At 46.4% G+C, this 27,835-nt stretch overlaps 1 protein-coding gene, 1 long non-coding RNA gene and 1 other non-coding gene across 5 annotated transcripts in view, besides 5 other annotated features; 2 read left to right on the top strand and 1 right to left on the bottom strand.

Annotated features, from left to right (window-relative positions):
• TEX14 (testis expressed 14, intercellular bridge forming factor) overlaps window positions 1-27,835 on the top strand; it is a 135,368-nt gene that overhangs the window by 31,816 nt on the left and 75,717 nt on the right. For all 3 annotated transcript variants that reach the window (NM_031272.5, NM_198393.4, NM_001201457.2), the window contains exon 2: window positions 8,228-8,364. In NM_031272.5, the coding sequence (NP_112562.3) occupies window positions 8,229-8,364 (136 nt within the window). In that variant the 5' untranslated portion in view covers window position 8,228. The remainder of the gene's footprint in view (window positions 1-8,227; window positions 8,365-27,835) is intronic.
• Window positions 885-1,655: an enhancer, noted in NCBI's record as "NANOG-H3K27ac hESC enhancer chr17:56735936-56736706 (GRCh37/hg19 assembly coordinates)". NCBI's record gives its function as "activates a minimal SCP1, AML or CMV promoter by ChIP-STARR-seq in primed H9 embryonic stem cells {active_cell/tissue: H9 hESC(primed)}" and the evidence as "EXISTENCE:reporter gene assay evidence [ECO:0000049][PMID:30033119]".
• LOC124904122 (U1 spliceosomal RNA) lies at window positions 925-1,081 on the top strand. Its single transcript, XR_007066000.1, has one exon. It is a non-coding gene; the product is annotated as a U1 spliceosomal RNA (small nuclear RNA).
• Window positions 1,787-2,339: an enhancer, noted in NCBI's record as "OCT4-NANOG hESC enhancer chr17:56735252-56735804 (GRCh37/hg19 assembly coordinates)". NCBI's record gives its function as "activates a minimal SCP1, AML or CMV promoter by ChIP-STARR-seq in primed H9 embryonic stem cells {active_cell/tissue: H9 hESC(primed)}" and the evidence as "EXISTENCE:reporter gene assay evidence [ECO:0000049][PMID:30033119]".
• On the bottom strand, window positions 8,639-27,433 carry LOC105371842 (uncharacterized). The gene is made up of 3 exons (XR_934885.3): window positions 27,238-27,433; window positions 16,198-16,262; window positions 8,639-8,823 (listed from the first exon to the last, which is right to left on the bottom strand). It is a non-coding gene; the product is annotated as an uncharacterized LOC105371842 (long non-coding RNA).
• Window positions 24,001-24,500: an enhancer, noted in NCBI's record as "H3K4me1 hESC enhancer chr17:56713091-56713590 (GRCh37/hg19 assembly coordinates)". NCBI's record gives its function as "activates a minimal SCP1, AML or CMV promoter by ChIP-STARR-seq in primed H9 embryonic stem cells {active_cell/tissue: H9 hESC(primed)}" and the evidence as "EXISTENCE:reporter gene assay evidence [ECO:0000049][PMID:30033119]".
• Window positions 24,501-25,002: an enhancer, noted in NCBI's record as "H3K4me1 hESC enhancer chr17:56712589-56713090 (GRCh37/hg19 assembly coordinates)". NCBI's record gives its function as "activates a minimal SCP1, AML or CMV promoter by ChIP-STARR-seq in primed H9 embryonic stem cells {active_cell/tissue: H9 hESC(primed)}" and the evidence as "EXISTENCE:reporter gene assay evidence [ECO:0000049][PMID:30033119]".
• Window positions 27,242-27,784: an enhancer, noted in NCBI's record as "H3K27ac hESC enhancer chr17:56709807-56710349 (GRCh37/hg19 assembly coordinates)". NCBI's record gives its function as "activates a minimal SCP1, AML or CMV promoter by ChIP-STARR-seq in primed H9 embryonic stem cells {active_cell/tissue: H9 hESC(primed)}" and the evidence as "EXISTENCE:reporter gene assay evidence [ECO:0000049][PMID:30033119]".

Raw genomic sequence — 27,835 nt, 5'->3', positions numbered from 1 at the left:
TTTCACCATGTTGGTCAGGCTGGTCTTGAGCTCCTGACCTCAGGTGATCTACCCGCCTCGGCCTCCCAAAGTGCTGGGATTACAGACGTGAGCCACCGCGCCTGGCCTAAAGTGTTAAATTATTAAGCGTGTATTTGTACCCTAGATGATGTGAGCCATCAATCTAGTTTTGGCATCATCATCCTCATCCTGGTGTGTTCCAATTTCTTAAGTGGAATGAAAAGAGCACTGAGGGCCAGGCGCGGTGGCTTATGTCTGTAATCCCAGCACTTTGGGAGGCCGAGGTGGGCGGATCACCTGAGGTCAGGAGTTCAAGACCAGCCTGACCACCATGGTGAAACCCCATCTTTACTAAAACTACAAAAATTAGCCAGGTGTGGTGGCAGGCGCTTGTAATCCCAGCTACTCGGGAGGCTGAGGCAGAAGAATTGCTTGAACCTGGGAGGCGGAGGTTGCAGTAAGCCGAGATCACGCCATTGAAAAGCACTGAGAAATAGGTTTGGATAATTAATGGCTGTATGAATTCTCTGAAAAAATAACAAAAGTTACTTCTATTATATGAGCCTGTGCAGAAAAAAGAAAAAAAATTTCTTATCACACAATGCGATTTCTTTTGAATCCTTGGGAGCGGCAGCTAGAGCGAACCGATCCGTAAGGGAGTTCAGTCAGATCGTACAGAAGCAGGTGGTGACGTTACTATAAGAGGCGGGCATATGTAGATAGGGGCGCAGTGATTGCCGGTTCTAGTGCGTTCTTCGCGGGAGAAATTTTCTAGCGAATACCAAAGAAGGTGTAGTCTGAGATGTGTCATACGAAGAAGCGGTAGTTTCGAAGCGATGCCTAAAAACAACTCATAATACAATTTGCCATGAGTATGTTGTGTGTTGAGGACGATGGTAAGGTATTAGCAATATTAAGTAAATAATGTCTTTGTGGCGGGGGAGAGACGCTGTTGGTCCTGATAAAGTGTTTTTCTTGGGGGAGGGTTTTTACTATGTGTTTGCTCCCGCGATTTCCCCGAATGAGAAAACTCGGCTGCATAACTTGTGGTAGTGGGGGACTGCTTTTGCGCTTTTCTGTCCTGTGATTGAACTAGTTTAAAAGACGGCTTGTGTGTTGTTGCGTGTGTTTATTTTCAGAGTTGTTGTAGTGGCGCGCGTTTGGTTTTGGAGTTGTGGTTATGACCTTACGTCTTCTTAGGTTACGGTCTGTTTTAATTAGATGCTCGCTAAGTATTTTATACCGTTTCTAGGAAGGGTGGAAAAATAAGCCAGACTGATGTGGTACGCACCTGTGCTAGCTACTCGGGAGACTGAGGTGGGAAAATCATTTGATCCCAGATGGAGACTTAATGAGCCAATATTGTGCCACTGCACTCCTGTCTGAGCGATAGAGACCCTATCTCAATGAAGAAAAGTAAAAAAAAAAAATTCCTGGGTCTTCAGGTGGGAAGTTAAGTACCTCATCCCTTGTAGTTCAGTTTTTCTGTGCAGATAAATTTACCAGTTTGCTATGTTAGCCTTTTGTTCTGGTGGGATGAATTGCTGAGGGTGGCTAAAGCCTGTAAACCCAGCACTTTGGGAGGCCGAGGTGGGTGGATCACTTGAAGTCAGGAGTTTGAGACCAGCCTGGCCAACATGATGAAACCCTGTCTCTACTAAAATACAAAAAAATTAGCCAGGCATGGTGGCGCACATCTGTAATCCCAGCTACTTTGGAGGCTGAAGCAGGAGAATCGCTTGAACCCAGGAGGCAGAGGTTGCAGTGAGCCGAGATCACACCACTGTACTCTAGCCCGGGTGACACAGTGAGACTGTCTCAAAAAAAAAAAAAAAAAAAAAAGCCGGTGCACAGGTGGTACACACTGGTACAGGTGGTGCATGCCTGTAATCCCAGCTACTTGGGAGGCTGAGGCATGAGAATAGTGTAACCACCCAAGGGGTTCACCTTGCCTGCTGCCTAGACAGAGCCAATTCATCAAGACAGGGGAATTGCAATAGAGAAAGAGTAATTCACGCAGAGCCAGCTGTGCAGGAGACCGGAGTTTTATTGTTACTCAAATCAGTCTCGTGGAGCATTCGAGGAACTGAGTTGTTAAGGATAACTTGGTGAGTAAAGGGAAGCCAGTGAGCCAGGAGTGCTAATTGGTCAGGGAAGAAATCACAGGGAGTCAAAGCTGTCTTCTTGTGCTGAGTCAGTTCCTGGGTGGGGACCACAAGATCAGATGAGCCAGTTTATTGATCTGGGTGGTGCCAGCTGATCTATCAAGTGCAAGGTCTGCAAAATATGTCAAGCACTGATCTTAGGAGCAGTTTAGGAAGGGTCAGAATCTTGTAGCATCCAGCTGCATGACTCCTAAACCATAATTTCTAATCTTGTGGCTAATGTTAGTCCTACAAAGGCAATCTAGTCCCCAGACAAGAAGGAAGTCTGCTTTGGGAAAAGGCTGTTACCATCTTTGTTTAAATTATAAACTAAGTTTCTCCCAAAGTTAGTTCAGCCTACACCCGGGAATGAACAAGGACAGCTTGGAAGTTAGAAGCAAGATGGAGTAAGTTAAGTTAGATCTCTTTCACTGTCTCAGTCATAATTTTGCAAAGGCTGTTTCAATTGTTTGAACCCCGGAGGCAGAGGCTGCAGTGAGCCGAGATTCCACAACTGCACTCTAACTTGGGTGACAGAGCAAGACTCTGTCTCAAAAAAAAAAAAAAAAAAAAAAAAAAAAAAGCATTTCCCGTATTGCCCAGACAAAATTATAATATACACATGACAAAGACACAAACACCAGTTATTCCCCTCAATATCTGAGTTTTAACCTGGTAAAACAGACAAGAGGTTCCCTCTGAGTGAGGCCTGTTGAGCTTCTGCTAGTGATTCCTTCAGGATTCCACCCCCTGACACACAGACAAGACAAGAACAGGCACAAGCCCTCACAAATCAGAATTCTAAAACCAGATTTGGGCCCAGCGTGGTGGCTCATGCCTGTAATTCTAGCACTTTGGGAGGCTGAGGTAGGAGGATCACTTGAGCCCAGGAGTTCGAGATCAGCCTGGGCAACATAGTGAGACCTCATCTCTATTTTTTAAAAATAATAATAAATAAATAAAAATAAAACCAGATTTGGCCAGCATGGTGGCTCACACCTATAATCCCAAAACTTTGGGAGCCTGAGGCAGGAGGATTGTTTGAGGCCAGGAGTTGAAGACCAGCCTGGGCAATGTAGCAAGATCCCACCTCTAAAAACATTAAAATAAATAAATAAAACCCAATTTTCTTTTTCTTTTTTTTTTTTTTTTTTTTTTTTGTGAGATGGGAGTTTTGCTCAGTCACCCACGCTGGAGTGCAATGGCATGATCTCGGCTCACTGCAACCTCCACCTCCCAGGTTCAAGTGATTCTTGTGCCTCAGCCTCTTGAGTAGCTGGGACTACAGGTGCTTGCCACCACGCCTGGCCAATTTTTTTCTTTTTTTTTTTTTTGAGACAGAGTCCCTGTGTTGCCTAGGCTGGAGCGCAGTGGTGCGATCTTGGCTCACTGCAACCTCTGCCTCCCAGGTTCAAGCGATTCTCCTGCCTCAGCCTCCTGAGTAGCTGGGATTACAGGTGCCCACCACCACACATGGCTAATTTTTGTAGTTTTAGTAGAGATGGGGTTTCACCATGTTGGTCAGGCTGGTCTCGAACTCCCGACCTCATGATCCACCTGCCTCACCCTCCCAAATTGTTGGGATTACAGGCATGAGCCACTGTGCCCAGCCTTTTGGTTTTTGTTTTGTTTTGTTTTTTTGAGACAGAGTCTTGCTCTGTTGCCCAGGCTGGAGTGCAGTGGCATGATCTCGGCTCACTGCAACCTCCACCTCCCAGGTTCAAGCAGTTGTCCTGTCTCAGCCTCCTGAGTAGCTGGGACTACAGGCGCCCGCCACCACATCCGGCTAATTTTTGTATTTTTAGTACAGATGGGGGTTTCACCGTATCAGTCAAGCTGGTCTTGAACTCCTGACCTCATGTGATCCACCCGCCTTGGCCTCCCAAAGCGTTGGGATTACAGGCGTAAGCCACTGTGCCCGGCTGCCCAGCTAATTTTCGTACTTTTTGTAGAGACAGCATTTCGCCGTGTTGCCCAGGCTGGTCTCAAACTCGTGACCTCAGATGATCCACCCACTTCGGCCTCTCAAAGTGCTAGGATTACAGGTGTGAGCCATCGCGCCCAACCAAAACCAGGTTTCTGAACTGAGACCCAAAGGGCCCAGGAGTACTTCCCCAAAACAGTGCCCTTTAACAGGACCCTCAAAGAGTTTACAGGGCCTCTGAGGAGGCCAACAGATCAGGAGAAGGGAAAGGGAATATGGATTATGCTTGGGAATAATCATCAGAGACATCTTCCGGAATCAGAAACCATTTCTCTGCTGCAAGCCAGCTTATGCGCCTAAGGTTGGCAATGCCCCTGCCTACAAGGGAGGTGCCAGACATGGCCCCTGGCTTAAAGGAGGGCTCGTCTCGGGGTGCCGAAATGTCAGGGTTCTGACATTCTGTTCCAGGACAGAATGAGGTCCAGCTTTTTGTTCTCACAGTCCAATAATGAGATCCAGACTGGGAAAGAAGGGAGTTTATTGGCCAGGTGCGGTGGCTCACTTCTGTAATCCCAGCACTTTGGGAGGCCAAGGCAGGCGGATCACCTGAGGTCAGGAGTTTGAGACCAGCTTGGCCAACATTATGAAACCCCATCTCTACTAAAAATACAAACATTAGTCGCCGGGTGCGGTGGCTTCTGCCTGTAATCCCAGCACTTTGGGAGGCAGAGGCGGGTGCATCATGAGGTCAATAGATCGAGACCATCCTGGCCAACATGGTGAGAACCCATCTTTACTAAAAATGCAAAAATTAGCTGGGCATTGTGGTGCGTGCCTGTAGGCCTAGCTACTCGGGAGGCTGAGGCAGGAGAATCGCTTGAACCCGGGAGGCGGAGGTTGTGGTGAGCTGAGATTGCGCCCCTGCACTCCAGCCCAGCCTGGTGACAGAGTGAGATTCCTCAAAAAGAAAAAAAAGAAAAAATTAGCTGGATGTGGTGGCAGGCGCCTGTAATCCCAGCTACCCAGGAAGCGGAGGCAGGAGAATGGCTGCACTTCAGCCATTCTCACCACTGCACTTCAGCCTGGGCAACAGAGCAAGACTCTGTCTCAGGAAAAAAAAAAAAAAAAAAGAAGGGAGTTTATTTCTGCAACTGGTTACAGGGAGAAGGTTGGAGTAACTCAGCAGACCAACTAAAAAAGTTAAAAGTTTTGGCCAGGCGCGGTGACTCACGCCTATAATCCCAGCACATTTTGGGGTGCCGAAATGTCAGGGTGTTCTAGGACAGAATGAGGTCCAGCTTCTTGTTCTCACAGTCCAATAATGAGATCCAGACTGGGAAAGAAGGGAGTTTATTGGCCAGGTGCGGTGGCTCACTTCTGTAATCCCAGCACTTTGGGAGGCCAAGGTGGGCAGATCACCTGAGGTCAGAAGTTTGAGACCACCCTGGCCAACATGGTGAAACTCCAACTCTATTAAAAATACAAAAATTAGCTGGTAATGATGGTGGGCACCTGTAATCCCAACTACTTGGGAGCCTGAGGTCTGAGAATCGTTTGAACCCAGGAGGTGGAGATTGCAGTGAGCTGAGATCGTGCCACTACACTGCAGCCTGGGCAACAAAGCAAGACTCTGTCTCCAAAAAAAAAAAAAAAAAAGTTACAAGTTGTTTTTTTTTTTCCAAAGCTTCTATACATTCAAGGTCCATGCCTATAAGCGGGAGTGCACCTACAAGGTGGAGTGTTTCATTCAATCTATATCTAATCTTTAACTAGGATCTAGGGTCTGGAAAGCTTTCTCTAGAGTCTTGGAAAGTTTCTTAAGTGGTCCTTGGTACAAGGTGTATGTGTAAAAATGCTATTATTATTTGATCAGACTTTAGGGCCTGAGAAAGGCCAGGTGGTGTCTTAATGGGTTTGTTTTTGCATTCCAGCCCTTGTAGTACTCAGGCACCAGTTTCTCCAATTCTTTTTATTTTTTATTTTTGAGATGGAGTCTTGCTCTGTCGCCCAGGCTGGAGTGCAGTGGTGCAATCTCAGCTCACTGCAAGCTCCACCTCCCGGGTTCACGCCATTCTCCCGCCTCAGTCTCCCGAGTAGCTGGGACTACAGGCGCCCGCCACCATGCCCGGCTAATTTTTTGTATTTTTAGTAAAGATGGGGTTTCACTATTCACAGGATGGTCTCAATCTCCTGACCTTGTGATCCGCCCGCCTCGGCCTCCCAAAGTGCTGGGATTACAGGCATGAGCCACCATGCCCGGCCCAGTTTCTCCAATTCTTTAATGTTTAACATATGCATTCATCAAAATTATAGTAAAGGGTTAGTGGAACCAGATTGTTCTGGCTGCTGATGGAAACCTGGACTGCCACAAAGGGGGCACTGAGCCATGGTTAAATGCCCACAAGGGGCATCTTTTCATAGGATCACTGCTAAATTGTAATCCCACGTGGCAAGTCAGTATAGTGAGACACTGGGTTGCAGCAGAGAAAGAGGTTTAATCATAGGGCTGCAGAATAAGGAGATGGAAAGAGACCTCAAACGTCTCCCAAACACATCCTTTTATAAGGAACCCACTCCTGCCATAACGACCTACTTCCTTTATAATGACAATAGCACTAATCCATTCATGAGAGTGGTGCCCCCGTGACCTAAACACATCTTAAAGGTTCTACCTCCCAACACCTCCATATTGGGGATCGAGTTTTTAACATATAAATTTTGGGGGACACATTCAAACCATAGCAGTAGGTACACCACAGACACTTGATTGTAAGAATGATGGTCAGGTGTGGCTGTCACATTTGGAAAGTTAAAATTTCTCTGCATAGTTCTTATGCACAGTAACAGCTAACAACTACAGTGAACTTGTTTGGTGCCAGGTACTATGCTAAGCACTGTACACAAATTAGTTCCTTTGAAACTCTCAGACCAGGCGCCGTGGCTCACGCCTGTAATCCCAGCACTTTGGGAGGCTGAGGCAGGCGGATCACAAGGGCAAGAGATCAAGACCATTCTGTCCAACATGGTGAAACCTCGTCTCTACTAAAAATACAAAAAATTAGCTGGGCATGGTGGTGTGCGCCTGTAGTCCCAACTACTCGGGAGGCTGAGGCAGGAGGATCGCTTGAACCCAGGAGGCAGAGGTTGCAGTGAGCTGAGATCGCGCCACTGCACTCCAGCCTGATGACAGAGTAAGACTCCGTCACATACACAAAAAAAGAAACTCTCAGCAACCCTCTGCTTATTATTATCCCCATGTTACAGATGAAGAAATTGAGGCCTATCAATGTTAAATAATTTCTCCAAGGTCACACAGGGAGGTGACAGAGCCAAGACAGTTTCAGAGTCTGAACTGTGAACCTAAACCACTATGTTATACTATCTAGCTTTACATAATGACTGCATTTGTGTTCTAACCTTTCAAAGTCAATACTCTCCAAGTTATCTTAATGACACAATAAACGTGTATTTAGAATTTTACTTCCTAGAAGTCCTCACTTTTTCAGTCCTGGGAATTAGTGACAAATATTGTATTAGTCTGTTCTTGTGCTGCTAATAAAGACATGCCGGAGACTTGGTAATTTATAAAGGAAAGAGGTGTAATTGACTCATAGTTCTGCAGTGCTGGGGAGGCCTCAGGGAACTTAAAATCATGGCAGATGGGAAGCAAACACGTCCTTCTTCACGTGATGGCAGGAAGGAGAAGTACTGAGCAAAAGAAAGAAAAGCCCCTTATAAAACCATCAGATCTCATGAGAATTCACTCACTGGTCACAAGAACAGCATGAGGGTAACCGCCACCATGATTAAATTACCTCCCACTAGGTCCCTCCCATGACGTTGTGGGGATTATGGGAACTACAATTCAAGGTGAGATTTGGGTAGGGACATGGAGCCAAACCATATCAAATATATTCAAATATATATATTTTTTACTTGTCTCTTCTCACCATTCTATATTCAACAGTATATTCAAGTTCTTTAATTTCAGCGATAACACTGAGGAAAAACATTAATCTCATAGAGTTTCAATAATTATTCCCCTAATCTTCATTATTAATGAAGGTGGCTGGACAGGTTTCTAAATGTAAAAGAATTAAGTTGTTTCCTTGCATTTCTGGTTCAGTTAAAATAAGCATATTGCTCTCTTTTGGAACAGGATGTCTCGGGCTGTTCGTCTTCCAGTCCCCTGTCCTGTTCAACTTGGTACCTTAAGAAATGACTCCCTGGAAGCTCAGCTTCATGAGTATGTCAAACAAGGGAACTATGTGAAAGTGAAGAAAATTCTTAAGAAAGGTAAGCACCATGTTGAGATGGCAGATGCACCTTGGTACACATTTCTGAATAGCGTTCAGAGGAAAAGGAATGTCATAAAGGTATGAATGAGTCCTTGGGGAAATCCAGAAATTAAATGTAGAAATTAGATGTTCTCTAGCAGTGCAGTCAAGAGAGGTGTTAAATCCTCATTTTGAGGATGTTTTGTTTTGTTTTGTTTTGTGTTGGGGAACCACAAGCGCATCCAACTGCTACTGCTAGGCTCCTATGGTTTCTCTGAAGTCACCCACCTTTGATTCTGCCTGATTTCTTTCCTTGAAATCTGCTCCATCCATTAAGTTCTCTGACACCCGTGGTTGACTAAGGAGGCCAGTGTTCACAGCTGTCCCCTTCCTTGCTCCTTATTTCCACTTGGTGCCTTTTTTCTGGGGTTTTCTAGCTGAAGGATACAGGCAGACATGGCTCAATGGCTGAAGCAGTCTTCAAAAGAACCAACAAACATGTCATGTGAATTTGGTCTGAGAAAACAAACCAAAGAACCAACAAACAAAAACCCATATACAAACAACCTTTTCTGGTGTTTGGCTCCTGTTTTTTTTCTTTTTCTTTTGGAGACAGAGTCTCACTCTGTTGCCAAATGCAGTGCAGTAGCATGATCACAGCTCACTGCAGCCTCAACCTCCACGGGCTCAGGTGATTCTCCTGCCTCAGCTTCCCAAATAACTGGGACTATAGGCGTAAGCCACCATGCCTGGCTAATTTATGTGTTTTTTGTTTGTTTTTTGTAGAGATGCTTTCGCCATGTTGCTCAGGCTGGTCTAGAACTTCTGGGCTCAAGTGATCTGCCCACCTCAGCCTCTCAAAGTGCTAGGATTACAGGAGTGAACCCAGACCTGCTATTTTCAGTGTAAGCAGAGGTCCTGCTTGATCCCCTGTCTCTTTTCTTAGTATTGAAGGGGAGGCTTCTGAAACTTTTCTTTGCTGATTTGTGGAATAGTCAGGGTGACCTGGTTTTTCTCCACTTGCTTCAATAGCATTCCTGAAGACGTCCAGAAAGGTAACCCCAATTTTCCACCTATCCCACTGAATAGTTCTCTCATAAAGTTCTCATGGCTGGCACAGTGGATCCCACCTATCTGTAAACCGAGCACTTTGGGAGGCTGAGGCAAGAGAATTGCTTGAAGCCAGGAGTTCAAGACCAGTCTGAGACCAGCCTGGGCAACACTGTGAGACCCTGTCTCTACAAAAAATAAAAAATAAAGAAATCACTAGTTGGCACTACACGCATGGTAGCGCATGCCTATAGTCCACCACACCAGGAGGCTGAGGTGAGATCCCATCTCAACAGCAAAAAAATAAGTTATCAAACCTTTCCATGTACTACCCCTAGGGTCCATAGGTGAAGTAGCTCACACTGAGCTCAATCATTTATGTGAAAGGTCCTGGGTTTTTTTTTCCCCTCAAAATTTTGCATTTTACTCCATAACATATCCACATATGTTTTAAAATAAAACGTTGTAAAACTCTGCTTCTTGGGCCAGGCATGGTGACTCACACCTGTAATCCCAGCACTTTGGGAGGCCAAGGAGGGTGGATCATCTGAGGTCAGGATTCGAGACCTGCCTGGCCAACATGGTGAAACCCCGTCTCTACTAAAAATAATTAGCCGGGTGTGGTGGCAGGCGCCTGTAATCCCAGCTACTTGGGAGGCTGAGGCAGGAGAATCGCTTGAACTCAGGAGGCAGAGGTTGCAGTGAGCCTAGATCACACCATTGCACTCCAGCCTGGGCAACAAAAGTGAGACTCTGTCTCAGAAAAACAAAAACAAAAACAAAAATAAAACTCTGGGCTGGGCGCAGTGGCACACGCCTGTAATCCCAGCACTTTGGGATGCCGAGGAGGGTGGATCACCTGAGGTCAGGAGTTCGAGACCAGCCTGGCCAACATAGTGAAACCCCATTTCTACTAAAAATACAAAAATTAGCCAGGCATGGTGGTGGGCACCTGTAGTCCCAGCTACTGGGGAGGCCGAGGCAGGAGAATCACTTGAACCTGGGAGGTGGAGGTTGCGGTGAGCTGAGATCGCGCCACTGCACTCCAGCCTGGGGGACAGAGTGAGACTACTCTGCCTAAAAAATAAATAAATAAAAAATAAATAAAACTCTGTTTCTCACAGTGAATGGTGTGGATAGACAGTCACTAGAAGTCATAGCATACCTATATTGAACATCACTTTTTTTTAGTGAACATCAGAGTATTATGACATTTATTATCTCCTAGACATCTCCTGAATATTCTGCATCTTCAAATGCTTGATATTCAGTTAGAGTAAGGGATGGGGTTAACATGTGTACCTGGATATAGAACAGGACTTCATCTGTGTCTGGGAATTCTATCTGAAGCCTCAGAGTGCAGAATAAGGGGCGATAAATTCTCCCACAGTCTAATAGAGGGCTTGTTAGGATATCATTTAAATGATCCTTAGATTCTTTAAAAAGTATTCACAGGGCCAGGTGTGATGACTCATGCCTGTAATCCCAGCACTTTGGGAGGCTGAGGTGGGTGGATCACCTGAGGTCAGGAGTTTGAGACCAGCCTGGCCAACATGGTGAAACCCAGTCTCTACTAAAAATATAAAAATTAGCTGGGCGTGGTGGTGGGTGCCTGTAATCTCAGCTACTTGGGAGGCTGAGGCAGGAGAATCACTTGAACCTGGGAGGCGGAGGTTGCCGTGAGCCGAGATTGCGCCATTGCACTCCAGCCTGAGCAACAAGAGCAAAACTCCATCTCAAAGAAAAAAAAAAAAAAGAGGCCGGGCGTGGTGGCTCACGCCTGTAATCCCAGCACTTTGGGAGACCGAGGCGAGCGGATCACGAGGTCAGGAGATCGAGACCACGGTGAAACCCCGTCTCTACTAAAAAAACAAAAATTTAGCTGGGCGCAGTGGCGGGTGCCTGTAGTCCCAGCTACTTGGGAGGCTGAGGCAGGAGAATGGCATGAACCCGGGAGGCGGAGCTTGCAGTGATCCGAGATCACGCCACTGCACTCCAGCCTGGGCAACAGAGCGAGACTCTGTCTCAAAAAAAAAAAAAAAAAAAAAGAAAAAAAAAGAAATTCACAGGATTAGAAGGCTGTGGCTTTCCCCATCCTTGCCAGTCTCAAGACAAGAGGCCCTTCAGGCAAACCTCAGAGAGAACTGTGGTGCTTGCAGGCAAGAGAGATGAGACCTGAGTCCCAGCCTGCTGTACAGTTGAAATATGTCAGCCTACCCCAAGCTGCCACCAGAGTGACACACCAAGAAGCTGCAGTGTTCCCTGGAGTTGAGGAGGCAAGAAGACTGCTATCTGTCTCCTACTTGGAGCAGTCCTTGATGGGTGGGTGAGCATAGGAGGCTAACAGTAATTAGTCACACTTGCACCAGTTGGTGAGCATAGGAGGCTAGCAGTAATTAGTCACACTTGCACAAGTAGACTCCACAGTGGGTAGCTGAGCCATCTAAGGGGATTCTACCTGTGAAGGAAGAAAGGATCCCAACCAGAGAGGCTGCAGGTAGGGCTTTAGAGGGAGGGAGCTGAGTGGTGGGCAAGAAGTCAGCAGAAGAGAGCACTGGCCTGTGTGGGGTTCTGCACAGTGTGGTGGAGGCACTTGAAGGACCCACTAGCACCTTCCACAAAAGGACAGGCTTTAGGATAAAGCCAGAAGCTACACGGGGCATCAGCTGAGTATGAAGGCCATTGCCTCTTTTTGTCTTATTGGTTCTCCCCCTTGCCTCAGCTCTGGAGTTGCCACAAACAGCGTTGAGATCAGAGGAAGAGTGGAGAAGCAAGGAGGAGAATTAACAGAGCATTGCTGCATCCTGCAGTGCGGAGGAGGGAAGAAATTGGAATCGGCCTGGGTACGGTGGCTCACGCGTGTAATCCCAGCACTTTGGGAGGCCTAGGTGGGTGGATCACTTGAGCTCAGGAGTTTGAGAACAGCCTGGCCAACATGGTGAAACCGCGTCTCTACTAAAAGTACAAAAATTAGCTGGACTTGGTGGCACATGCCTGTAGTCCCAGCTACTTGGGAGGCTGAGGCAGGAGGAGAATCGCTTGAACTTCGGAGGTGGAAGTTGCAGTGAGCCAAGGTTGCACCACTGCACTCTAGCCTGGGCGACAGAGGAAGACTCTGTCTCAAAAAACAAAAAACAAAAAGAAAGAAAGAAAGAAATTGGAATTTGTTGAAAGATTGAGATTTTGATTTTGGTGGAACAAATTTTTTTTTTTTTTTTTTGCCTGACCTCAAGCACACTCTTGGTTGGCTCTTCCTTCCCCTCCTTGAGAGGCATCTCAGGCAGAATCCACTTTTTTTTCTTTGAGACGGAGTCTCGCTCAGTCGCCCAGGCTGGAGTGCAGTGACGCGATCTCAGCTCACTGCAAGCTCCGCCTCCCGGGTTCACGCCATTCTCCTGCCTCAGCCTCCCGAGTAGCTGGGACTACAGGCACCCGCCACTACACCCAGCTAATTTTTTTGTATTTTTAGTAGAGATGGGGTTTCACCGTGTTAGCCAGCATGGTCTCGATCTCCTGACCTTGTGATCTGCCCACCTCGGCCTCCCAAAGTGCTGGGATTACAGGGATTACAGGAGTGAGCCACCGCGCTGGGCTGCAGAATCCATTTTTTCTGTCACTTTAATTGTGCCGTTCCAGGCTGGGCGCGGTGGCTCAAGTCTGTAATCCCAGCACTTTGGGAGGCAGAGGTGGGTGGATTACCTGAGGTCAGGAGTTCCAGACCATCCTGGCCAACATGGTGAAACCCCATCTCTACTAAAAACATAAAATAGGCATGGTGGCGTATACCTGTAATCCCAGCTACTCGGGAGGCTGAGGCAGGAGAATCGCTTGAACTCTGGAGGTGGAGGATGCAGTGAGCCGAGATGGTGCCATCGCACTCCAGCCTGGGAAACAAGAGCGAAACTCTGTCTAAAAAAAAAAAAAAAGAGTGTGCTTGAGGGGAAAGTTGTCTCCTGATTGTATCCTACTCAGTTTAGCTCATTCAGAAAACCGATTGTTACAGATTATGACTGTGCCCTTTGGGACCATAATCTAACAGAAGAAACAGACATAAGTTGGGAGCTGAAGTGTACTGAGAAGGGCAGGAAGTGAAGTCAGCACACAAGATTCATCTGAGCCTCCTTGTCTATGGGGTAATCAAGAGAAACTTCTCAGAAGAAGTGTTGCTTAGGCCAGGACCTCAAGGAAGAAGAGGAGTTGACCAAGCCGGGTGCCATGGCACACACCTGTAGTCCTAGCTACTTGCAGACTGAGGTGGGAGAATCACTTGACCCCAGGAGTCCAACCTGGGCAACATAGTGAGATTCCATCTCTGAAAAAAATGAAAAGAAAAAGAAAAGGAGTTGATGAGGCAGGAGTTGTGCTCTGAGGATGGAGAGGAGCTAGAAAAGAAAAGGGTCTGGTTGACATGAGTTGACGGGAAAACCAGTGGGGTGGAGAGAGATGTGAGATGAAACTGGCAAGGGAGGCCTGGGCTGGACCAGTCAGAGCCTTGTGGGCTATTGGAAGGATTTTGGTTCGATGTAAAAACTCCCATTTTATATTGTTTTGTGTTTTACCCTCTGTTTTTCGTTTCTTCTCTTTCCTGCCTTCTTTTGTGTTAATGAAATATGTTTTAGAATTCCATTTTAACTTATAATAGCGATTGGCTTTTAAGCTATACCTCTTTACATTGTTTTTTCAGTGGTTGCTCTAGTTATTTCAATACAGTTGACACTGCTTATCTGTGGGTTCCACATTTGTGGATTCAACCAACCAAGTATCAAAAATATTAGGAAAAAGGAAACAATTAAAAAATAACACTACAATAAAAAATACAAACAAAAATGAAGACTAACAACTATTAACATAGTATTTACATTGTACTAGATATTATAAATAATCTAGAGATGATTTAAAATATACAGGAAGATTAGATGGGTAGGTAGGTGGATAGATACATAGATAGATTATATGCAAATACTATGTTATTTTATATAAGGGACTTGAGCATCTTTGGATTTTACTGGTATGGGAGGGTCCTGAAACCAGTTCCCCATGGGTACCGAGGGATGACTGTCTATATCTTTAACTTCTAACAGTTTACTTACAGTTAATGATGTACCACTTCACATAAAAGATGCAACCTTATAGGTTCATTTCTCCCCTTCTCTTATCCTTTATATTATAGAAGCCATAGGCCGGGCAGGTGGCTCATGCCTGTAATCCCAGCACTTTGGGAGGCTGAGGCGGGCGGATCACGAGGTCAGGAGATCAAGACCATCCCGGGTAACATGGTGAAACCCTGTCTCTACTAAAAATACAAAAAATTAGTCGGGCGCGGTGGCGGGCGCCTATAGTCCCAGCTACTCGGGAGGCCAAGGCAGGAGAATGGCGTGAACCCGGGAGGCGGAGCTTGCAGTGAGCCGAGATCGCGCCACTGCACTCCAGCCTGGGCAGCAGAGTGAGACTCCGTCTCAAAAAAAAAAAATTATAGAAGCCATAATATATCTATGAGTTATGAATCCTACAATATAATTTTATAATTTTGTTGTAAAGACTAATATAGGCTGGGCATGGTGGCTCACGCCTGTAATCCCAGCAGTTTGGGAGGTCAAGGTGGGTGGATCACTTGAGGTCAGGAGTTGGAGAACATCTTGGTCAACATGGTGAAATCTCGTCTCTACTAAAAATACAAAAAAATTAGCTGGATATGGTGGCGTGGGCCTGTAGTCCTAGCTACTCTGGAGGCTGAGGCAAGAGAATCACTTGAACCTGGGAGGCGGAGGTTGCAGTGAGCTGAGATCACGCCACTGCACTCCAGCCTGGGTGACAGAGCGAGACTCCATCTCAAAAAAAAAAAAAAGTTAAGAAAAAAAAAAGAATACAACTCAAGAACAGCCAAGGCTAGGCGCAGTGGCTCACGCCTGTAATCCTAGCACTTTGGGAGGCCGAGGTGGGTGGATCACCTGAGGTCAGGAGTTCGAGACCAGCCTGGCCAACATGGTGAAACCCTGTCTCTACTAAAAATTCAAACATTAGCCAGGCGTGGTGGCGGGCGCCTATAATCCCATAATCCCAACTACTTGGGAGGCTGAGGCAGGAGAATCGCTTGAACCAGGGGGGGCGGAGGTTGCAGTGAGCCGAGATCTTGCCACTCTAGCCTGGGCAAAAGAGCGAAACTCCGTCAGAAAAAAAAAAAAAAAAAAAAAAAAAAGCCAGGTGCGGTGGCTTACACCTATAATCCCAGCACTTTGAGAGGCCGAGGTGGGTGGATCACTTGAGGTCAGGAGTTCAAGACCAGGTTGACAGCTTGACCAACATGGTGAAACCCCATCTCTACAAAAATACAAAAACTAGCTAGGCGTGGTGGCATGCACCTGTAATCCCAGCTACTTGGGAGGCCCAGGTGGAAGAAGTGCTTGAACCTGGAAGGCTGATTTTGCAGTGAGCCGAGATCATGCCATTGCACTCCAGCCTGGGTGACAGAGCGAGACTCCGTCTCAAAAAAAACAAAAACAAAAACAGCCAAAAGTAAGAGATACCCAGGGTTTTATGTAGGTGTAGGGGGAGGGGCTTCCATTCCTTCTGGTGGCATTCCACCCTCCCAGTTCTTCAGTGTGTTCACCATCCCAGAAGCTCTCCAAACCCTATTTATGGATTTTTATGGAGGTCTCATTATGTAGGCATGATTGATTAAATCATTGGTCATTGGTGATTAAACTCAGTCTCCAGCCCCTCTCCTCTCCCTAGAGGTTAATGGTAGGGTAAGGTATTAAAGGGCCCAAACCTCTATCATAGCTTGGTCTTTTTGGTAACCTACCTCCGTCATGTAACACAGGTGTGAATAGATTTGCATTTTCAAATGGCTGCTCTGGCTGCAGGAGGCTATGAGGTATTTGGGGGGGGCGGGGGAGAAAACAGAGAAAACAGTAAGATGACTTAGGCTTCTTTTTTTTTTTTTTTTTTTTTTTTTTTTTTGAGACAGAGTCTTGCTCTGTTGCCCAGGCTGGTGGAGTGAAGTGGCGCAATCTCGGCTCACTGCAACCTCCACCTCCTGGGTTCAAGCGATTCTCCTGCCTCAGCCTCCCTATTAGCTGGGTTTACAGTCGTGCATCACCACACCTGGCTAATTTTTGTGTTTTTTTAGTAGAAATGGGGTTTCACCAGTTTGGCCAGGCTGGTCTCAAACTCCTGACCTCAGGGGATCTGCCTGCCTCGGCCTCCCAAAGTGCTGGGATTACAGTTGTAAGCCACTGTGCCCAGCCCTAGGTTACTTTTTTTTTTCATTTTTGAGACAGGGTCTCACTATGTTGCCCCATAGTCCTCCCATAGATGGGAGGACAGACTCACATGCCACTGCAGCTATAAGCTAGGTTTTTGTTTTGAGCAACGTGGTTGAAAGTGATATTATTCCCTAAAAGAGAAATACGTTTGGGAGGAAGCTGATCTAAGTCAGCTTGGGTAGGCTGTATTTGAGATATCTGTGATTCACCTAAATGCAATGTCAAGTAGAAGCTGGATATCTGAGCCAGAAGCTCAGAGGAGTGATCTGACTGCACAGACATATTTTGAAACCAAGGATAGGCAAGAAAAGACCAGGAACCCTGCTGACAGGTACCTCACTGTCTTAACATACAGGCCAGCTTTATTGGGGGAGGAGTAGAATAAGAAGGAAGGGAAAACCAGGTTGTTCCCAACAGGTCAGTAGCAGGGCTTGAGGGAAGGAACAATACATTCATGAATTCATCATTCATTCAGTTAGTCAGCATTTACTGGGCATCTACTGTGCCAGGCAATGTGCTGGAGATACAGAGATAAATAAGACATGTTTCTGCTTTTAAAGAGCTCACAGTTTAGTAAGGGGAAGTAAATGTATTTGGAACAGAGTGAGCTATGTAGAGGCCCATACAAGGATGATTAGGGACACAAAACTCATAGTGGTCAGTGTTATTTATGGAGGTCAAGGAAGGCTTCAAGAAGAGGTGACATGAACTAAGTGAGAATGTACTGGAGTGATAGTCACACCCATGTGAAGTTGGAGAAACTGCTCAGAGGAGGCCAAGGGATGGATGGTGAGAGGTTTCCAGAAAGATTGGAGGACTAGAGAATGGAAGACAGATATAGAAGGGCCCAGACCAGAGATAGGACCCTTGGATGAAAGTGACCAGAAAGTACTTTATAAATTCAAAATATACTAGGTGGGAGGCTGAGGCAGGAGAATCACTTGAACCCGGGAGGCAGAAGTTGCAGTGAGCCCAGATCGTGCCATTACATTCCAGCCTGGTCAACAAGAGCGAAACTCCATAAAAAAAAAAATAAATAAAATAAAATAAAATGTATATATATATGGAACTGCTCTGAACCCAAAAGATATGTCCCAGACCTGGCCAGATTGCCCCAACGCTGTCCCTTTTTCTGAAAAAAATTAAGTACGGAGCATTTGGCTGTCTCTAAAGAGAGCTGTCTGTGAGGAGATTCTATTAGGAGAGGCGGTTGAATAAGACTGACTGCTAAGCATCTTTACAACCTGATGGTCACATTTGTGATGCTGCTATAATGCAATTAAAAGTGTGGTTGATTAGAACACTGTGCCATGTGAATGTCCATGTGACCCTGTGCTTCCTGGTAGGAAATTTACAGCAGGAAGTTAAGTGACTAAAACAATTGCACATCATCATATCTGAGATGTGTTAATTGAGGTGAAATTGGTGCTAACTTTTCCTAGAAGTAAATGGGTAGGCTTCCTCAGGGATTTAGAAGCCAGGAAGATGAGTCATTCAGACTGAACTTTGAGAGATGATGTATTTAATGCTTCATTAGAGAAATGAATTGATTGGAGACTAGACTTCTGAAGAAGACCCCTTCGGCTTACCAGAAAGAACAGGGACTTGATTTAGTGCCAGACAGGCTTAGGTTCCAACTGTGGTTCCTTCAGCAGTGTGACAGATGCTATACCCAGCATCTATGAAAGGAGAAATAATCAACTATTCTCCTTCAGTTGTTTAAAGGATTAAATGAGATAATGGATTAAAACATCTATCACTTGGCTGGGCGCAGTGGCTTACGCCTGTAATCCCAGCACTTTGGGAGGAGGCCGAGGCAGGCAGATCACAAGGTCAGGAGATAGAGACCAGGTTGGCCAACATGGAGAAACCCTGTCTCTACTAAAAATACAAAAATTAGCTGAGTGTGGTGGTGCATACCTATAATCCCAGCTGTTAGGGAGGCCGAGGCAGGAGAATCACTTGAACCTGAACCTGGGAGTGGGAGGTTGCAGTAAGCAGAGATCAAGCTGCTGCACTCCAGTCTGGAGAGAATGAGACTCCATCTCAAATAATAATAATAATAATAATAATAATAATAAATAAAAGAGAAAGAAAGAAAAGAATGGCTACTCCATAGGCACAGCAGCCTGGTTGGCTACTTTTTTTTTGTTTTGTTTTGTTTTGTTTTAAGAGTCTTGTTGCCCAGGCTGGAGTGCAGTGGCCAATCTTGGCTCATCGCAACCTCCTCCTCCCAGATTCAAGTGATTCTCCTGCCTCAGCCTCCCGAGTAGCTGGGATTACAGGCATGTGCCACCACGCCCAGCTAATTTTGTATTTTTAGTAGAGACGGGGTTTCTCCATATTGGTCAGGCTGATCTCAAACTCCCCACCTCAGGTGATCCTCCAGCCTCGGCCTCCCAAAGTGCTAGGATTATAGGCGTGAGCTACCGCTCTCAGCCACCTGATTGGCTACTTTTTAATCATTCAAGTCTTGGCTTAAATAACCTTTGAGTGGTTAGGGAAACCCTCTCCTTCCCTAACCTCTGAAATCTAAAGTAACCACTGATGGGCAGGGTATGGTGGCTCATGCCTATAATCCCAGCACTTTGGGAGGTTGAGGCTGGTGGATCAGTTGAGCTGAGAAGGTCGAGACAAGCCTGGGCAACGCGGTGAAAACTTGTCTCTACAAAAAGCAAAAAAATTATCCAGACTTGGTGGCTCGCACCTGTAGCCCCAGCTACTCGAGAGGCTGAGGTGGGAGGATGGCTTGATCCCAGGAGGCAGAGGTTGCACTGAGCTGAGATTGCACCACTTGTACAGCCTGGGTGTCAGAGCAAGACCGTCTCAATAAATAAGTAAATAAATAGCCACCACGTCTCTCTGTTTCAACAATGTTATAATTCTCTACATGCCTCATTATTTATCATTCTCTCTCTCTCTCTCACACACACACACACACACACACACACACACACTAGAAGGTAAGCTCTGCATGTGAGTAGGAGCCTTTATTTACTTTATTCTGTTGCTATATGCCCAATTCTTAGAAATAGTGCTTAGCACGTAGAAAAACTGGATAGTGGTTAAGATAATAAGCTCTGGCACCTGACCTACCAGCTCTGTTTCAAAACTGTGTGACCTTAGGCAAGTTACCTAATCTTTCTGTGTGTCAGTTTATCCATCTATAAAGCTGGGATGATTACTAATAGTACTTATCTCATGTGACGCTGGGAACATGGCAAGACCTCAGTAAATAGTAGCTAATACCTTTTTTTTTTTTTTGGGACAGAGTCTCGCTGTGTCACCCAGCCTGGAGTGGCTCAGTCTGGGCTCATTGCAACCTCAGTCTCCTGGGTTCAAGTGTTTCTCGTGCCTCAGCCTCCCTAGTAGCTGGGACTACAGGCAAGTGCCATCACACCTGGCTAATTTTTGTATTTTTAGTAGAGACAGGGTTTCACCATGTTGGCCAGGCTGGTCTCAAACTCCTGACCTCAGGTGATCCACCCACCTTGGCCTACCAAAGTGCTGGGATTACAGGACTGAGCCACCGTGATTGGCCAGTAGCTATTACCATTATGTATACCAGCATTCAAATATTTGTTCAGGGAAGAAATGACGTCAAATTCACCAAACATCTTTATCTTAAAAATTTAAGAAGTGTGAACTGGTAGTGCAAACATGTGGCATAAGAACCAGAGTTCTTTTTCTTAAATGCTGGGTCTCAGTCACCCTGTTCCCTTTCCTGCCACGGTCATGGTGACCTGACCCTAGCGTTCGAAAGTCAAACCCTTAGGATAGTTGTGAGCAACTGCTGAGATTAATCAATTACCGGATCCAGCCTGATTCTAGCAGAGTCAAAGGCCCACCCTTTCCTTAAACTGTCTGGGACCAGGCACCTTTACCAGAACCGTGGAGCCTAGCTCATACTGTCTTATGAGGGGCTCACGGCAACATCCGCCTCCCGGGTTCAAGCGATTCTCCTGCCTCAGCCTCCCAAGTAGCTGGGATTACAGGTATGTGCCACCACGCCCGGCTAATTTTGTATTTTTAGTAGAGACGTGGTTTCTCTATGTTGGTCAGGCTAGTCTTGAACTCCTGACCTCAGGTGATCCTCCCGCCTTGGCCTCCCAAAGTGCTGCAATTACAGGCGTGAGCCACCGCGCCCGGCCAACATGAGTAAGTTCTTTAGTGGTGACTTGTGAGATTTTGGTACACCCATCACCCAACCAGTATACACTACTGGCACCTTATTTGTAGTCTTTTATCTCTTGCCCACCTCCCACCCTTCCCCTCAACTCCCCAAGCAAGATCATTGTATCATTGTCATGCCTTTGCGTCCTCATAGCTTAGCTCCCACATATCAGTGAAAACATACAATGTTTGATTTTCCATTCCTGAGTTACTTCAATTAGAATAATAGTCTTGCTGGGCGCGGTGGCTCACGCCTGTAATCCCAGCACTTTGAGAGGCCGAGGTGGGTGGATCACGAGGTCAGGAGATCAAGACCATCCTGGCTAACACGGTGAAACCCCGTCTCTACTAAATATAAAAAAAAAATTAGCCAGGCGTGGTGGCAGGCGCCTGTAGTCCCAGCTACTCAGGAGGCTGAGGCAGGAGAATGGCGTGAACCTGGGAGGTGGAGCTTGCAGTGAGCCGAGATCACGCCACTGCACTCCAGCCTGGGCAACAGAGCAAGACTCCGTCTCCCCAAAAAAAAAAAAAAAAAAAAAAAAGAATAATAGTCTCCAGGCCGGTCGCAGTGGCTCATGCCTGTAATCCCAGTGCTTTGGGAGGCCGGGGCAGGAGGATCACCTGAGGTCAGGAGTTCAAGACCAGCCTGACCAACATGGAGAAACCCTGTCCCTACTAAAAATACAAAAAATTAGGCAGGCGTCGTGGCATATGCCTGTAATCCCAGCCACTCGGGAGGTTGAGGCAGGAGAACTGCTTGAACCTGGGAGGTGGAGGTTGTGGTAAGCCGAGATTGCACCACTGCACTCCAGCCTGGGTAACAAGAGTGAAACTCCGTCTCAGAAAAAAAAGAATTATAGTCTCCAATCTCATCCAGGTTGCTGCAAATGCCGTTAATTCATTTTTATGGGTGAGTAGTATTCCAATGTATAAATACACCACAGTTTCTTTATCCACTTGTTGATTGATGGGCATTTGGGTTTGTTCCACGATTTTGCAATTGCAAATTGTGCTATTTCTGCATTAAATTTTTTTTTTTTAATTTATTGTAGTAGAGACAAGGTCTCGCTGTGTTGCGCAGACTGGTCTTGAACTACTGGGCTCAAGCAAGTGTCCCGGGTTGGCCTCCCAAAGTGCTGGGATTATAAGTATGAGATACCACGTCCAGCCTATTTTTGCAGTTTTTAATCATCAGAAACAATGCTTTGATAAAATACCTTGTAATATATCTTTACAGGCCAGGCGCAGTGGCTCACACCTGTAATCCCAGCACTTCTGGGAGGCTGAGGCAGGTGGATCATGAGGTCAGGAGTTCGAGATCAGCCTGACCAACATAGTGAAACCCCATCTGTACTAAAAATACAAAAATTAGCCGGGTGTGGTGGTAGGCACCTGTAATCCCAGCCACTCAGGAGGCTGAGGCAGGAGAATTGCTTGAACCTGGGAGGCAGAGGTTGCAGTGAGCCGAGATCGCACCACTGCACTCCAGCCTGGGTGACAGAGCAAGACTCCATCTCAAAAGGAAAAAAAAAAAAAAAAAGGCAGTAGGTTGTAAACCTATACTTCTTATGATTGACTGTACATCAGGTGTTCCCACAACCCACTCCCCAGATTTGATTAATTTGCTAGAGTGGCTCATAGAACTCAGGGAAACACTTTACTTAGGTTTACCCATTTATTGTAAAGATATCACAAAATATACAGATGAGCAACTGAATGGAAGAGATGTCTAGGGCAAGGCATGTGGGAAAAAGCTTGGTGATTCCATGCCCTCCCTGGCCCATCCTCCAGGAACCTCTCCATGTTCAGCTATTCAGAAGCTTCCCAACCCAGTCCTTTTGGGTTTTTATGGAAACTTCATTACGTAGGTATGGTAGATTAAATCACTAGCCATTGGTGATCAATTTAACCTTCAGCCCCTCTCCCCTCCCCGGAGGTTGGGGAGCAGGGCTAAGAGTCCCAACCCTCTCATCATGCTTCGGTCTTTCCAGTGACCAGCTGTCATCCTGATGCTTTCTGGGTGGCCCCAGCCACTAGCTACAGTCAGCATCAGCATACAAAAGATACTTATCATTCCAGAGGTTCAAAGAGTTTTAGAAGCTCTACGTCAGGGAACAGGCATGAAGACCAAATATATATTTCTTGTTTTTTTGTTGTTTTTTTGTTTTTTGTTTTTGAGACAGAGTCTCGTTCTGTCACCCAGGCTGGAGTGCAATGGCACGCTCACTGCAATCTCTGCCTCCTGAGCTTCAAGCAATTCTCGTGGCTCAGCCTCCCAAGTAGCTGGGATTACAGGCGCCCACCATCATGCCCAACTAATTTTCGTATTTTTAGTAGAAACGGGGTTTCACCGTGTTCGCCAGACTGGTCTTGAACTGCTGACCTCAAGTGATTCACCCGCTTCTGCCTCCCAAAATGCTGGGATTACAGGCGTGAGCCACCATGCCCAGCCCCAAATAAATCTTTCTTTCTTCTTTTTTTTTTGAGACAGAGTCTCACTCTGTCGCCCAGGCTGGAGTGTAGTGGCGCGATCTCAGCTCACTGCAACCTCTGCCTCCCGAGTTCAAGAAATTCTCCTGCCTCAGCCTCCCAAGTAGCTGGGACTACAGGTACATGCCACCATGCCCCGCTAATTTGTGTAATTTTAGTAGAGACAGGGTTTCACCATATTGGTCAGGCTGGTCTTGAACTCCTGACCTCGGGTGCCTCCCAAAGTGCTGGGATGACAGGCATGAGCCACCACCCCCGGCCCCAAATACATATTTCACAATATCACAGAGACAGTGGTATAGTGCGTGGACTTTAGAACCAGACTGGTTTGTGACCTCTGGCAAATTGATCTCTCTCCATTTCTTCATCTACAAAACAGTGATAATAATAGTTTCTTCTTCTTGTACAGTTGTGAGGATTAAGTGAATTAAAAGAATAGTGCCTGGCACACATTATTGTTAATATCAGATATTACCTCCTAGGAGGCTCACAGGTTAGGTGACTGACCCATCTGGAGGCCCTGGGCTTATGAGGGTGGTATTAGGATGTCAACATTTGAATCCAGGTCTTTTAACCTTTTCGGCCAGTCTTTGTACCATGTCATAGCTGCCTCTGGTCACTTCTTGTGGGACTGTTTTTAGTTACCTTTATAGCAGCCACAACATGGGTACAATGCTGGCCTAAAATAATTATTTGTTGAATGAATAAATGTTATTTTTTATTAGGAAGTCTCCAAAGGTCATGTTTGCTTAAGTTGTAGGGACAGAGGTTTTCACCTATTTTTCTTTCCTGCCACCTGTATCCCCTCAAGATTTGTTGCTCTGTGCCTTCCCCTAAGTGGTTTCTGATCCTTAGAGAAGCCCTTGGGACGCGGTGGCTCACGCCTGTAATCCTAACACTTTGGGAGGCTGAGGTGGGTGGATCACCTGAGGTCGGGAGTTCAAGACCAGCCTGGGCAACATGGTGAAACCTGTCTCTACTAAAAATACAAAAATTAGCCAGGCGTAGTGGCGGCTGCCTGTGATCCCAGCTACTGGGGAGGCTGAGGCAGGAGAATCGCTTGAACCCGCTGGAGGTTATGGTGAGGCTGGAGGTTGTGGTGAGCCAAGATCGCACCACTGCACTCCAGCCTAGGCGACAGAGACTCTGTCTCAAAAAAAAAGAGAAGCCCTTGGTGGGCTGGGCGCAGTGGCTCATGCCTGTAATCCCAGCACTTTTGGAGGCCGAGGCAGGTGGATCACTTGAGGTCAGGAGTTTGAGACCAGCCTGGCCAACATGGTGAAACCCTGTATCTATTAACAATACAAAAATTAGCTGGGCATGGTTGTGCGTGCCTGTAATTGCAGCTACTCAGGAGGCTGAGGCCGGAGAATCACTTGAACCTGGGAGGCAGAGGATGCAGTGGGCCAAGATCATGCCACTGTACTCCAGCATGGGCTACGGAGTGAGACTCTGTCTCAAAAAAAAAAAAAAAAAAAGAGAGAAGCCCTTGGAGGCCTTGGTTGATTTAATTTTTTGCCTCCTGAGCCCTGGGAGGGGCTTCCCTTGACTGTAATTTCTTCTTGTCAATAACTATAATTTCTTGTCAGCCTGCTTCCCTTGACTGTAATTTCTTCTTGTCAATAACTATAAATAGTTTGAGATTTGATAAATTAGACTGCTACATGTGTATGGATGAGATTCTTGGGGTCATAGATGAATGATGGTTTATTACTCATAGCAACAGCAGTAGCCAGAATATCAGCATTTTTTCCTTTTAACTTTTTTTTTTTTTGAGACAGAGTTTCGCTTTGTCAACCCGGGCTGGAGTGCAATGTTGAGATCTCAGCTCACTGCAACTTCCACCTTCCGGGTTCCAGCAATTCTCCTCCCTCAGCCTCCTGAGTAGCTAGTATTACAGGCGCCCGCCACCACGCCTGGCTACTTTTTGTAGTTTTAGTAAAGGTGGAGTTTTACCATGTTGGCCAGGCTGGTCTTGAACTCCTGACCTCAGGTAATCCGCCTGCCTCGGCCTCCCAAAGTGCTGGGATTACAGGCGTGAGCCACCATGCCTGGCTGGAGACATTATTTTTATTATACTGGATGGTAAGCATGTATTCACTTTGCTGTGAATGTAGATACTATCTGCCTTCCAAACTTCATTATACAAATATCTTCAAAGAGGTGCCCTGAACAGGTTAGTGCCTTGCCCCCATGACATGCGTAACTCTGAGAGATCCATGCAGAATTGTCCTTTTACTGTTCTCTGCTGCTCTTCTCTACTCTTAGGCTGGCTTGTGTTGGGCAGATAAGTGAACAAGGCACTGAAGATAGGGGAGATACATTGGGCAGTTCCTACCTTCTAGTGTAGGAGAGACAGTCTGGTAGAGGACATAGACATACCACAAATATTTGTAACACAGCAAGCCCTGAGCAGTAAGACATGTGAACCCCTCTAGTACTGCTCTCACCATGAACACTGTTTCTTTTTCTTTCTTTCTTTGTTTTTTAATTTGAGACAGAGTCTCACTCTGTTGCCCAAGTTGGAGTGCAGTGGCACAATCTCAGCTCACTGCAACCTCTACCTCTCGGGTTCAAGCAAACCTCCTGCCTCGGCCTCCTGAGTAGCTGGCATTACAGGCATGTGCCACCAAGCCCGGCTAATTTTTGTATTTTTAGTAGAGACAGGGTTTCACCATGTTGGCCAAGCTGGTCTTGAACTCTTGGCCTCAAGTGATCCACCCACCTCAGCTTCCCAAAGTGCTGGGATTACAGGCGTGAGCCCCCACACCCAGCCCAATTTCTTCTTACTAGATGTCTCAGGCTTTGATACTGTTGACTGATCCTTCTTTTTGAAACTTTTAACCTTCCTTGTCACTGTGACCCATTTCTTCCAGGTTTTCCTCTAATCTCTGCCTACTTTTTGGCTTCTTTCCTTATTTGCTTTTTTTTTTTTTTTCGGAGACAGAGTCTTGCTCTGTCACCAGGCTGGAGTGCAGTGGCGTGATCTCGGCTCACTGCAACCTCTGCCTCCCGGGTTCAAGTGATTCTCCTGCCTCAGCCTCCTGAGTAGCTGGGACTACAGGCGTGTGCCACCATGCCCAGCTAATTTTTGTACTTTTTAGTAGAGACGAGGTTTCACCATGTTGGCCAGGCAGGTCTCGAGCTCCTGACCTTGTGATTCACCTGCCTTGGCCTCTCAAAGTGCTGGGATTACAGGCGTGAGCCACTGCGCCCGGCCCCCGGCTAATTTTTGTGTTTTTATAGTAGAGATGGGGTTTGTCCACATTGGCCAGGCTGGTCTCAAACTCCTGACCTCAAGTGATCTGCCCAGCCTCCCAAAGTGCTGGGATTACAGCCGTGAGCCACCATCCCCAGCCCTAGCTTACCTCAAGATGGTAGTGGGCCTCAGGGTTCCAGCTTTAACCCTCTGCTGTTTGGGTAGTATGTTTGACTTATTTTCCCCTATGGCTTACAATTGGCCATTGTTAATGTCCTTTATCTTCTGCAGTTCTGTTCACTGGACATCTTTACTTGGATTTATTCATTATTAGGTGCTTGGGATATTGTGGGTACCCAAAGCCATTCATGTAGTCTGAAACTTAAAGTCTCATGCAGGTGGCAGGCATTAATCAAATGATCACATAGAAGAGGTGTTTGATCTGCTAAAGGAGGTCAGGGAAATATTTCCTGAGACAATGACATTTGGACCAATGTCTGAATGATGAAGATAAGTTGGGATTAGAGGTTGAGAGGAGAATCCCTGTCAGGGAGAACAGCCTGTCCAAAGGCCCTGTGGCAGAAAGGAGCATGGCGAGTATGAGGAACTGTAAGGCCAGAGTGTGGCTGGAGTGAGGGAGAATGAGACTTGAGAGATGGACTCGAGAGAGGGGCCAGACCATACAGGGCCTTTTAAGTGCGAGAAATACACTTACCTTTCCAAACCCAAAGAATGGGCTTAGAGGCACGAAGAACAGCGGAAGTGAGACTTTTAATAGGGGTCTTGCAAGATTGGGTGTCTGGTATAATTTATCTCCTAGCATCCAAGTCCCTCCCCCAGTTCCTCATTGGTCGAGTACTATGAGGTTACAATCTTTCCGGATGTCGCCTAAGTTTCATTATCCCCCTTATAAGGTTATATACCCTCTCCCCTTCCCTGCTTTAATTTTCGATTCCCAGTAAAGAAACTTTCTTCCCTTTTATGGGCTGACCCCTCCTCTACATTCTGTTCGCTTATCGTGACCTAGGTGCGTGAGCTGTGCGGTTACGTTTGCAGGCCGGCTGCCAGTACTTAGATTTATTATGCCTTGAAAATGGACCATTTAAAGTATTTTCTCACATAAGTATGTAGAGTTTTGTCTGTACCTTAACAAATGGGAAGCTACTGAAGCTTAAACCAGGGGAATATGTTGTCCTGCTTGTTTAAACACAGCAATGGCCGGGTGTGACGGCTCACGCCTGTAATCCCAGCATTTTGGAAGGCTGAGGTGGGAAGATCGCTTGAGCCCAGGAGTTCAAGGCCACCCTGGGCAA

This window comes from Homo sapiens, chromosome 17 (assembly GCF_000001405.40).
Source record: "Homo sapiens chromosome 17, GRCh38.p14 Primary Assembly".
Classification (NCBI taxonomy): domain Eukaryota; kingdom Metazoa; phylum Chordata; class Mammalia; order Primates; family Hominidae; genus Homo; species Homo sapiens.
Note: the sequence above shows the minus strand (reverse complement) of the source record. Positions and strands in the feature narration are given on the sequence as shown.